The sequence below is a fragment of the Homo sapiens genome, chromosome 1 (assembly GCF_000001405.40).
Source record: "Homo sapiens chromosome 1, GRCh38.p14 Primary Assembly".
Taxonomy (NCBI): Eukaryota; Metazoa; Chordata; class Mammalia; order Primates; family Hominidae; genus Homo; species Homo sapiens.
The window spans coordinates 118064361-118076973 of record NC_000001.11 but is presented as its reverse complement, the minus strand read 5'-3'; the positions used below and the strand labels follow the sequence as shown (position 1 = coordinate 118076973).

At 36.6% G+C, this 12613-nt stretch overlaps 1 protein-coding gene across 14 annotated transcripts in view; it reads left to right on the top strand.

Annotated features, from left to right (window-relative positions):
- The window catches only part of SPAG17 (sperm associated antigen 17), a 231639-nt gene that overhangs the window by 108255 nt on the left and 110771 nt on the right, over positions 1 to 12613 (top strand). For 10 of the 14 annotated variants that reach the window (XR_946574.2, XM_006710427.4, XM_006710426.4 and 7 more), the window contains 3 exons: positions 2374 to 2435; positions 3007 to 3120; positions 10075 to 10229. Coding sequence is in view for 13 of the 14 variants with exons in the window: in XM_006710427.4 (XP_006710490.1) it covers positions 2374 to 2435; positions 3007 to 3120; positions 10075 to 10229 (331 nt within the window). In the remaining variant the exon portion in view is untranslated. Of the gene's footprint in view, positions 1 to 476; positions 641 to 972; positions 1011 to 1565; positions 1748 to 2373; positions 2436 to 3006; positions 3121 to 10074; positions 10230 to 12613 lie in introns of those variants that run through there. The other 4 variants (XM_011540939.3, XM_006710428.4, XM_011540942.3 and 1 more) reach the window with 4 other exon arrangements.

The window sequence follows — 12613 nt, the reverse complement described above, 5'->3', positions numbered from 1 at the left end:
GAAAAACCTGAGAGTTGATAACCGCGAGGTTTAGATGTGCCCTTTATGCTTGTTGGGTGTTTTTTTAATAAAGTAACTGCTTTGCAGAGGGATCTTGTTATCTCTAAAGTAAAACAGATTAGGAAAGCTGTTTTTCAAAGGGATGAGAAAGCATCCATTTCCAGATGTGTCAAAAACTACTGAATCACACTGTCAAAGGATTATGTGGTTGAAAGCAAAAATCAGAAAAAGAAAAAAAAATGATTTTTACTCTACTATTAAATAAATAATTCAGATTACTTTTAGAATGTTCTTTCCTTTGACAAAATAACTGATGCATAATTTTTAGAACATATTTTCTAAACTGGAGACTTTTTCTGCTGGATCCTTAAACATAGGAGGGAATATCAAATCTCCCGGAAATCTGGCAGACCACAGAATAGAATAATTTTTATCCACAGATTTCATATCAATTGCTTCAAGGACACATGAGACATCATGGTCTATTTAGAGTTATAGTTGGCCTGAGTTTTCTCTTCAGTGGATGTATTTATATAAATGCTGAACTGAATTGGCTGTATGGTTTTCCCCTAAATCAAAATGGAACGTTCATGCTGTCACCTTCACCAGCCCAAGGCAAGATGGAACTAGTAGCAAAAATGTAAGTAGCTGTGCTCCTGAAAGAAAGAAAAACACTGGCCTGTCCTTCATAGGCACAATCAGCTTCTCCCTCTAGAAGCCCAAATATGGTACTCTTTGCCACAGAATAAAAAGTTGTCTTATGCTTGCCACAGAATAAGGCTTTGTTGTAGGTTTTTTCCCACATTTCTAATTTCTCTATATGGCTCTAGGTTAATTTCCACGTTTAATATATGATGTAGATTCTTCTCATTCAATCAAAAGGAAATATTTACTGAGTTCCTGCCAGATGCTGGGTGCTCAGAGTACAGTTAAAAATAATAATAATAATAAGATGAAGTTTCTATTCTCCAGGAATTTACATATGAGGTGGAGAGACAGACCATAAACAAGTAAGTAGCATTAGGCATAGATACATGCTATGATAAAAAAAACAAACAAAGCAGAGGATGAGGCAGAAGACTCTTGAGAAGGTGATACTCGACCAATATGAATGAAGTCAGGGTCTGAAAAAGGTGAACAGCTAAGGGCAAAGCATACCAGAGAGAAAGAAAGTGCAAGACCCTCAAGACACAGCAAGCAGGCCAGTGTATCTGGAGTAGAATGAGCAAGGGAGAGTCAAAGAGTTGTGCTTAAAGAGTTAGGCCAGAGCCATTTCCTGTACAACTTTGTCAGACATAATCTTCATTTATTCTAAGAGTGATAAGAAGTCAGGGCTGTTCAGTTGTTCAGCAGCATCAAAGTATATTCCCACAAAATCCACCTCCCACACACACATACTCTATTTCTGTGATCAAATTTGCAAAATGCTATATACATTATCCATTTCTCAATTAGAGATTCACAATAACAAGAGCAAATTACAAATTCTAAGACATTCATAGTGAGATGTTCGTTGATCTATGTTAAACTTATTTATCATGGAACTCTTTCTTCTGGTGATGCAGAAATCAACAATATGAATGTGTTCCTTCCCTGTTCATTCACATGGCTGTTTGCTTCATAGCCAAGGATGATATCACCATCCCAATCATCATATAAGTATACTCTGTCATTACTAGGAAAGCTAGTGTGCATGACTCATATTGGTCCATAGTGTGCATGACTCGTATTGGTCCATGGAGTCCAGGTACCGCTTCATTTATTTATTTAACTTTTGTTAAGCTTCATTTGTAAATTAGCAGATGCTCATTAAATAATTTTTAAGTTAATAAATGATTAATGAATGGAAGGGAAGCTCTGCAGAATGGTGAAAGCGTATCATTTTCCAATAGGAAGTGCACTTATCTGCCAGTGCCTCTTTGCACGCATGGCCTGCCCCCACCCTAGTCTGTCATCCACAAGATAAGATCCACAGAAATTTAAAAAGGCTTTGTGATAGTCACCAGCACAAGAAGACAAATCATGTGTACTAAGAAGTTGATTTAATCAGTAAATAATTACAACTTTTAAAGATAAAGGTATATTGTTAGAAGTGAATGATACAGTCTGAAAGCAGAATATCTGGTATGATTTAAGATATATCACACAAGAAGCTAGGTTCTTTTCAAAGAGCTTAGTATAATTTTTCTAGGTAGGCACAGATTTAGAATTATGGACACAAACACCTTTCTGGAGGCACAAAACATGCCTTTCAGGCATTGCCTTTTCAGCACAGAAACATAGATCATATGGGCAACAAAAAAGCACAGCATTAACCAGCAGGGCAAGAACAAAGCCAGAACACAACTGGATGTTGGTGTCTTTGATTTGCAGAGCAGACCACAAACAATGAGATCAAAGATGATGCAGTCACAAAGGCTGATTCTCATGAAAAGGTAAGGAATTATTTTTCTGAAAATGTAGATGACAAGATGATCTGAGAAAAACCATGACTTGGAGTAAGAAACACTGAAAAAGAAAAAAGAAGATACTTAGAAGGAGAATACTGAGGCTAGAAAAGAGGAACTATTCGGACATCCCCAGAGCAGCTCCAACTGGACAGAAAGGAGTTAATATTGCTAGGCGGCTTGCGCATAACTTCCCAGCTCCTTGCTCCTCTCTAGACAGTGTGGCTTGGCAACCTCACAAACACCTGCTCACCATACAGCCCTGTAGAGCTAACGTTGTCTTGAAGAGAGTTCAGAAAACCTGCCTGTAATTGCTAACAGGACTCAGAAGAGTATAACCTAACAATAAAAATATTTAGATTATGTTGCCCATAAAAAAAAAAGTCAAAGGCATACTCTTTTTGGCAGCAGCTCTCCTAAAATGTTGCCATATGGATTTATACATATGCAGATTTCCCCAATTAGATGGAGTACATACTGGTTAGTTGACGGAGCCCAAGAGGGCTCCATTTGGACTTAAACAAATTAAAGCTGAAATTGTGTTCCTATGATATTTTAGAAACCCAAGAAGATGATGGTGGAAGCAGATTTAGAGGACATAAAGAAAACACAGCAGCGCAGTCTAATGGACTGGAGTTTTACTGAACATTTTAAACCGAAAGTACTGCTTCAGGTATTTATGGACTGTGATTCTCTAGGAGACGGTCAGATAGGTCTGGAGAGTCTGCTGTGATTTAGAACAGTTCACCTCCAGGTCATTCTCTCAGATCTAGTTCAGATCAATAGTCTCCTTTACTTCAGCTATAAAATAAATTTACTCCCAGCTTGAGCTATGCATTCCCAGCGACTCTCTAAAATAGTTTAAAATATACTTTATGAAAGAATGCTTTTATAAAATATTTTAAGAAAAAAAGAAATATACAAGACTGCTGCATATATATATTTTTTTGCTGCTGCATGTATTTTCTAAAAACAAAGTAAGGTTTTATTGGGAAAAACCTTATTTTTTTCCATATTGTTTATCCATTCTACTCAATTTCACCACATTTCACAGTATTTTCTGTTTTGATTAACAGTTCAATGGAATCTGTGGTAGCCAACATTCATTGAGCACTTACCATGTGCCAGGCACTGATTAATATGTATTATTAGCTCATTTAATCCTCACAATAACCCTGTGAAGTAGAAACTATGTAAGCAGTAAGAAACTGAGGCACCTTGACCAGTAGTGACTTTTGTCCAAGGTAACATGGCAGCTAAGTGAGAAGCTAGATATAAACCCAGGAAATCTGGCCCTGGAACTTGTACTCTTAACCACTCAGCAAAATAACAAGTAATCCCAAACCTAAATCCTTTTGTTGTGTTTAGCTTTTACACAAAAACTTGTCCTCTTTTGGTTTTGTCTTTTTAATTTGATTTTTATTTTTATCAAAGTTTTACAACGTTTTTTAAGCCAGAAAGTTCTACAAAGTCTTACTATGAAAAATAGCAGCCTCCTTCCCCCATCCCCACCCCACTCCACCAAGCCGCAGTTCTCAGAGGCAAAAATCTTCAGTGCATTTACCCCTTTCTTTTGTTACTTTACTCGGTGATCTCTAAATAGCAAGTATATTTTGTTTAGTTTTAGTTTTGTGACATCATTACCAATTGATTCGCTCTTGAGAACACAGCTTTGCCCACCCCCATCCAACACACATGTGCATGTACAGGTACAGGCTCACCCACCCCCACATTCACATTAGCACTTCTCCATTCTCTGATACTGTTAACAATATCGTAATTTTTGGTTAGATAAGTATTCAGAACTCACTTTATTTCAGTTATGTAAGTGCTATTCACAGCTGAACTGTGTGGTATTCTATAATTACATTTCCTGTATGGGTACCATTTTTATTTTCTCTGCAGTTAATAATTGCCTCTTTTTCTATTTGTTTAGTTTACTATGTATTTATTATTAACTTATCCCCAAATTCTCTACTACTGAGTAAGTCACTCAATACATTCAAACATAACAGATATTCTATTAGTTTTATTGTATTAGTGATATCTCTCCCATATTCCCTAAGCTTGCTGCACAGCTGTGGTCCTGGGCCTCCCTTTACCGTCATCCGGGCCACACCCATTCCCTTCCTTTCCAGTTAGATACCTGTTGCCTTCATCCCATGTGTTCCCTCTCCGGTTACTCTCTTTTTTGTAGAGAATCATCTCTTCCAGTAGCTTCCTTAATTAAGATAGACGGGAAGTAAATTTTTGAGGCATTCAATATTTGAAAACAGCTTAATTCTATCTTTATATTGACTGACAGTTGGGCTTTATAGTAAATGCTAAATTAAAAAGCATTTTTTCTCAATACTTTAAAGACAGTTTTTGACAGTGTTCTGACTTCCCAGATTGTCCTTAGAAAAATAAATAAATACAATTCTGATTCCTAATCAGTTGTTTGAGTATGTTGTGATCCTCTCCCTGGAAGATTTTAAGATCTTCTCTTTGTTCCAATGCTCTTGATTTCCTGTTGATATGCCTTTGTGTGGTTCTGTTTCTATGTATTGTTCTGGCAAGCCGGTGCAATCCAGAAATTCCTGTATTTATATTTTGGGAAATTTTCTATAATCATTTCTTTGATAATCTCTCCTCTCCATTTTCTCTGTCCTTTTTTTTCTGGAAATCTTATTACTCTGGTGTTGGACCTGCTAGACTGAACCTGCAATTTCCCTTTCTTTTTTCTTTTAGTTTCCATCAATTTATCTTTTGGCTTTGCTCAATTTCCATTCATTTCTTATATTGAGCCCTTTATTCCTGTTATTATCATTCTGATTTCCTAAAGTTATATTTATAATTTCAAATTACCTTTTTAAAGAATCATTTCACTTTTTCTTTTTTTTGAGATGATGTCTCGCTGTGTCGCCCAGCCTGGAGTGGCATGATCTTGGCTCACTGCAACCTCTGCCTTCCAGGTTCAAGTGATTCTCCTGCCTCAACCTCCCAAGTAGCTGGGATTACAGGCACTTGCCACCACACCTGGCTGATGTTTGTATTTATAGTAGAGATGGGGTTTCACCATGTTGGCCAGGCTGGTCTTGACCTCCTGACCTCAGGTGATCCACCCGCCTTGGCCTCCCAAAGTGCCGGCATTACAGGTGTGAGCCACTGCATTTCTGATATAATACCTTCTCTTATCTCTATGAGGATATTAAAGTCCTCTGAAGTTGTCTTCTCCATGAATTATCTCTTTTTCCTCCAAGTTTCTTTTCTCATTTTTTGTCTTTTTTGTTTCGTCTTCATTTTTCACATTGGAGGGTAATATATAATATTGTCCTCTTTGCTCATATTAATAATGAAACAATAAAAATATGATAGGAAGTGCTATATGAGGTGGGGTGGGGGGTTGTCAATAACTGAGTTCATTGTTGGGTGATTTGACTGGGAGATTTCCATAGGAGACTCACCATTGTTGGTATGTCAGTTCTGTTTTCTTGGGCCATTTAAATTCTCCATGAAAAAAAAAAAGTCTAATTTTCTGTCTGAAAGACATAAGCCTTCCTGTCAGTGTTTTGAGAGCTAGGTAATGAGGGAAGGGTATTAAGCTTCTGACATTTATTATCTAGATCTGCATTATCCAGTGTGGTAGCCACTAGTCACATGTAACTTCTGAATACTTGAAATGAATCTAGACCAAATTGAGATGTGCAATAACTGTGCTATACACTATATAAGTGCTATTACACACTCAATTTCCAAGACTTTAAAAAGGTGGCATTGATTACTTTTACATTGTTTATATGTTGAAATGATAAGAATTTTTATCTATCAGGTTAAATATAATATATCATTAACATTTATTTTACTTGTTTCTTTTTACTTTTTAAAATGTGGCTACTATAAAATTTAGAATTGCACATGTGGCTCACATTTGTGGCTCACTTTATATTTCTATTGAGCAGTGCTGATTTAGGCTTTTACACAATTCCCTTTTTTTCTAGAATGTACTTCTCTGTCAGTGTGCGTTGGGTCCACTGTTCTTAGAACCCATTCATCTACCATCTGTAGTTACCCTCTTCCCCTCTGCTAGAGTGGGAGATAGGCAATAGCCCAGTTGCTCAGAATTTTAATGGAATCCAGGGGCCTAACTGCTTCTTAAAAAGATTTTAAACTAATCTTCCTATTTTCAGTGCCACTTTCACCCCACTTGCAGAGGTGACTAGTATTTCCATATCCTGAGACTTTCTATATTTCTGCACACAAATGGGGTTGCCTGTGGTCTCTCCTAAAATTAATCTTAGGACTTGGCTTTCTGTATTCTGCTAAGTCATTTAGCATTTATCCTTCTGCTTTCCAGCTTCTAAAATTCCGGTGCCTTTATCTCCTCTCCTTCAACAAGTTGAAGTTGGCTTTCAATTTTATGATATTAAAAAAACAAACAAAATGTTACTGTTCTTTTAATGAGGCGTTAGAGAGTGCAAATGTTCAATCTTTTCTCTGTAACTGAAAGTTTACTTCAGACTTTATACTATTTCAGTTTTTCTCAGTCCTTACTGCTCCATGAAGCTGCACTTTTCAAGGTAATCAATAATCTTTGTCTTGCCAAATCTAATGGACACTTATCTTTCTTCATCTTCCCTGACATTTTAACAGCATTGCAGAGCTTATCCCTTCCCCCATGAAACACTCTGCACTCTTGGTTTCCTCAGTGTTGTATTTGGAATTTTGTTGACTTTTCCTCCTTTACCCAGCATCTAATATGGAAGTGCCTCAAGGCTCTGGAGCCTCCAGGAAGCCCTAGAGCATCTTCTTGCCTCTGTAAACACCCTTCTTTGATGATCTCATCTGTTATATACTATCTAATGCTGATGCCCATATCTTTTAAATTATCTCTCTCTAGAGATTCACATTATTATACCTTACTCAAAATTCTACCTGAATTTCTGATCAAATTTAGTATCCATCTCAAATTTAGTATCCTATATGACACTCATATTTTTCCCACCTAAGCATTTCTTCCCTTGTCCATCTCAGAAAAGGTCACCATCATTCAAGTGCTCAAGCAAAAAGCCAGAATCATCCTTTGTTCCAACCTCTCCTTTATCCCTGATACCTAATCCATCATCAGTGTTTAAGGGGTATACCTCCAAATATATCTTCAAGCTCTTCTGCACCACAGCTACCACCACTTTTTTTTTTTTTTGAGACGGAGTCTCACTCTGTCGCTTAGGCTGGAGTGCAGTGGCATGCTCTCGGCTCACTGCAACCTCCGCCTCCTGGGTTGAAGCAATTATCCTGCCTCAGCCTCCTGAGTAGCTGGGACTATAGGCACGTGCCACCATATCTGGCTGATTTTTTGTATTTTTAGTAGAGACAGGGTTTCACCATGTTGGTGAGGATGGTCTCAATCTCCTGACCTCATGATCCACCCACCTTGGACTCTCAAAGTGCTGGGATTACAGGCGTGAGCCACCACACCCGGCCTACTTTTATATGACTACCACCCTCTAATTCCACCACAATATCCTCCTGATTACCTGCTTCCACTCTTGCCCTGCTCTAATCCATTCTCTATATATCAGATATTCCATTAATTTCATCTTTTCGGACACACCTCCTTCAACTCCAAAATAATCTATAAAGCCACAGGTCTGTAGTCCCAACTATTCAGGAGGCTGAGAGAGGAGGATAGCTTGAGGCTAAGCTTTAGGGGCCAGCCTGGGCAACATAGCAAGGTCCCGTCTCTAATTAACAACAACAAAAAAATCTTTATCATATTTTAGAGGAAAATCTTATCTATTTTGTTTATTTTTGTTTTCCTAGTACCTGCACAGTGCCTGCCACACAATAGGTACTCATTTTTAATGAAAAACTTAACTAAATAACTAACGTAACCAATAATATTAATACAGAATAAAAGACAAGCACCAATTAGTAAAAAAGGGGAAAATAAGATATGAAAACTTTACATATTGATTGAGAGCAGCTATAGTTCTGTGAAACTTAGTGCTGTATTTTTAGCACCCCCAAAGCAATATGAAAACCCAAAGATTTCAAAGCTCTTATTATCTAAAAGAAAGGATATATATTCATCATAAACGCAATGGTTTTCTGGGTTTATAGTGTGAGCAGAATTTGCTTTTCAAAAAAACATCAGTAAGTACTAGATGATACCCTACATAACAATATTTTAAAATGCAAAGATATTCACCACATGTATGTTTCTTATGTTGGCTCTGAGGAAACAGATGTAAAAGTGCCACTCCATAAAGACACTCATTCAGGGGACTAAATTGGGGAAGCAAATGTATTGTTTTGATTATGCTACCAATGTAGAATTGAAAGCAAAATTAAAGCAGCCCTTTTCTAACATTATTATGTTATATATATATATATTATATATATATCACTCCATGCCTTCAGATATGCAAACAATAGAAAACCAAAAGCTGCCTCAGCAAATTGATATTGAAAACAAAAACGAAAGCCCACAGCTGTCTAATTTATTTTTCCTATTGACAATTTCCTTATTGTTGATTGGCAAAGGAAACAGGATAAGCAGCTGCCCACTGTGTCTCTCTACTGGTAGCTACCACCGCAGTGCATGCTGAGGATGGTATGTTTTAGAAAGGGCCAGAGTTGGAAGGCAGGTAGAAACGGTATGTGTCAGAAAGACCACTCACTTCACTTCATCTAACACAGCATGGTATAGTGGAGAGAATGCAAAATGGTAAAATTTAGAGTTGGAAAACAGGGATGAGCCCTGGCACCATAACACACAGTGTTCTTGGACAAGTCCCTTACTCTCTCAGCCTCAATTTATGCTGAAAAAATGAGAATTCTAATATTTTGATATGGGAAAAATAATCATACCTACTGATTTAGTCCGCTTGGGCTGCCATGCCAAAATGCCATGCCTGAGTAGCGTAAACAACAGAAATTTTCTCACAGTTCTGGAAGCTGCAAGTCTGATGTCTGGGTGCTGGCATGGTTGAGTTTTGTTGAGGACTCCCTTCCTGGCTTGTGCCTTTGCGTTGTGTCCTCACATGGCAGAGAGAGTAAGAGGGAGTGGGGATGGAGAAGGGAAAGAGGGAGGGAGAGCAGGTTATCTGCTGCCTCTTCTTATAACGGCACTAATCTTATCTTGACGGCCCTAGTCTCATGACCCCATCAAACCTAATTACTTTCCCAAAGCCCCATCTCCAAATACCATCACACTAGCAGTTAAGGCTTCAACATATAAATAGGGATGGTGAACACAATTTAATTCATAGCATCTATTTATGTGGAGTTTTAAATGATGATAAAATTAGATGGTCTATATCAAGGCATGGAAAATGCTAGATAAATGACTGCTGTGCTTAATTATTACCTACCAACCTTAATGAAGAACACTTGTAGCAAGCGCCGCTCTGCCTGATGCCTAGTATTTGTTTTTCTAAAGTGTTGCTGAAATGCTTCCCAAGCTAGCTACCATTTATGCTCTCACCTTCTAGCAGCTAGGAAAGAAACCTCTGGGAATTTCAACTTGACTAACAATGTAGAGGTGAATGTAGGAAAAAAAGGGAGTAGAGAAATGCCCTAGTAGGAGACCCTTCTCTTGGGGAAAATAAAAAAGATTCTACAATGCAATTATTTTGATTTTCAGGTCCTTCAAGAAGCCCATAAGCAATATAGGTGTGTTGATTCTTACTACCACACCCAAGACAACTCTTTACTTTTAGTCTTTCACAATCCAATGAATAGACAACGTTTGCATTGTGAATATTGGAACATTGCTCTCCACTCCAATGTTGGATTCAGGTAACAAATTTGGAAAGTTTAGTTAATTAGTTAGTTGGGTTTAGTTAGCTTGCCAGTTACTTAGTTACTTAGGTGTTAGTTCCTTACCCTAAGCTAGGGGGTTCAGCTCAATGAAAACATTTGTGTAGTACTATAGATTCAATTCAGCTCACTAAATTGAATGTCAGCATGTGCTGGGCACTGTATGGGCATTGGAGCTATACCACTAAAGAAAACAGGTGTCATTCTTGCCCTCGTGGAATCTAGTGAGGATGTTGTTAAATTACATTTGATTCATTTAGATTCCAGTAAAACTGTCTCCAAAAGATTTCAAGTAGGAACTATAAAACATGACATTCTGCATGTTGGGTTTTTTTAACTCTATTTTATCTGGGGAACATTCAAAAATAGGTCAGCTGAGTAATATACCAACAGAGCAGTCAGGTTTCCAGCAAACTGAGAGCCTAGGGGTTAGTGATTTTTTCTTTCCAGCTCCTTAGTTATTCCCTTTTTCTCTTAGAACTTTGTTCTCTCTTCTCATTAAGTATGATGATATTTCACTGTTATTTCAATACTGGTTAATGTATTTTCAGTATTATTTGTATAGCATTTTTTTTAGTTTTAAAGAATACAGAAAGATTTACAGAATGGACTTACATAATAATTGGGGGAATATACTGTATGTGGGCACACACACATTTTAAAGTCATAAAATGACTTTAAAATGAAGGAATTTGGTAGATATACTAATATAACACCTTGAACAGTTAAGCTGTGTTTGTCTTTGTTTTGTTTTTCGTTAACAATAATTACGCATTTTATCCCTTTGCCTTATGTCTTGGCTAGGATCTCCAATTTAATTTTGAGGAGAAATCCTTGTCTTATTCCAGATTTTAAAGGCAATGTTTCGAATATTCAACAATTAAATTTTTTTTTTTGCTCTAGGATTTATGTAAATATTCCTTATTAAGTTAAAAAAACTATTTCTAGTTTGCTATGAGTTCTCAATGGTCATTAAGTCATATCAATTAAATGATTTTTCTGGATCAATTTAGGTGTTTATATTTTTTTCTTTAATCTATGAAAGTGCTAATTTCATTAACAGATATTCTAGTGTTGAACCAAACTTGCGTTCCTGTAGTAAGCCAGATTTGTCCATTATGTTATCTTCTTTATAATTGCCACATTTGCTTTGCTAATGTATTGTTTAGAATAGTTACATGTGTATTCATGGGCAAGATTCAGCTATAATTTTTCCTTGCTTTAAATATTCCTATTTGGTTTTAGTATTGAGATTATGTTAACCTCATAAATTAACTGGAGAATGTTCTCCCTTTTTATTTTTATTTTTTCATTTTCTGAAATAGTTTGTGGAAAATTAAGGTATATGTTCCTTTGGCATTTGGTAGAGCTTGCAGATAAAAACATACGGCCCAGGGAAGATGTTTGATTACTGACACGACTTCTATCATGGTTATTAGACTCTTCATGTTTTCTACTTAATTTTAATTAGGTTTATAATTTATATTTTTCCAGATATTTGACCATTACACCTGTTTTCAAAAGTATTGACATAAAGTTCATTAAAATATTCTTTTACCTTTTAAACCTGTGTTACGTGTGTCTATATTCTTTTTCGTTCTTAACATTTTTAATCTGTGATTTCTCTATATTTTTCTGGATCAAACTTGCCAAAGGTTTGCCAGTCTTACTAATATTTTTAAGAAATCTGTTCTTGCTTTCTAACTCTTTCTCCTTTTATCTCATTTAATTTTGCCAGCATCTTGTTTATTTCTCCTCTTTAATTTCCTTGGATTATTCTGATGTTCTTTAACTTCTTAAATTAAAATCCTATCTTGTGATTTTGAGTTGTTTTTTGTTAGTTTTTGTTGGCTTTTTCCTTATTAGCATTTAAGGCCAAATCCCTCCCTAAATACCGCCTTAGCAACACCTCAAAGTATCTGACTGATAGTATTTTTATTATCTTTCTTTTTTTATTTTATTTTATTTTATTTTTAATTTTATTATTATTATACTTTAAGTTTTAGGGTACATGGGCACAATGTGCAGGTTTGTTACATATGTATACATGTGCCATGTTGGTGTGCTGCACCCATTAACTCGTCATTTAGCATTAGGTATATCTCCTAATGCTATCCCTCCCCCCTCCCCCCACCCCACAACAGGCCCCAAAGTGTGATGTTCCCCTTCCTGTGTCCATGTGTTCTCATTGTTCAATTCCGACCTATGAGTGAGAACATGCGGTGTTTGGTTCTTTGTCCTTGTGATAGTTTGCTGAGAATGATGGTTTCCAGTTTCATCCATGTCCCTACAAAGGACATGAACTCTTCATTTTTTATGGCTGCATAGTATTCCATGGTGTATATGTGCCACATTTTCTTAAT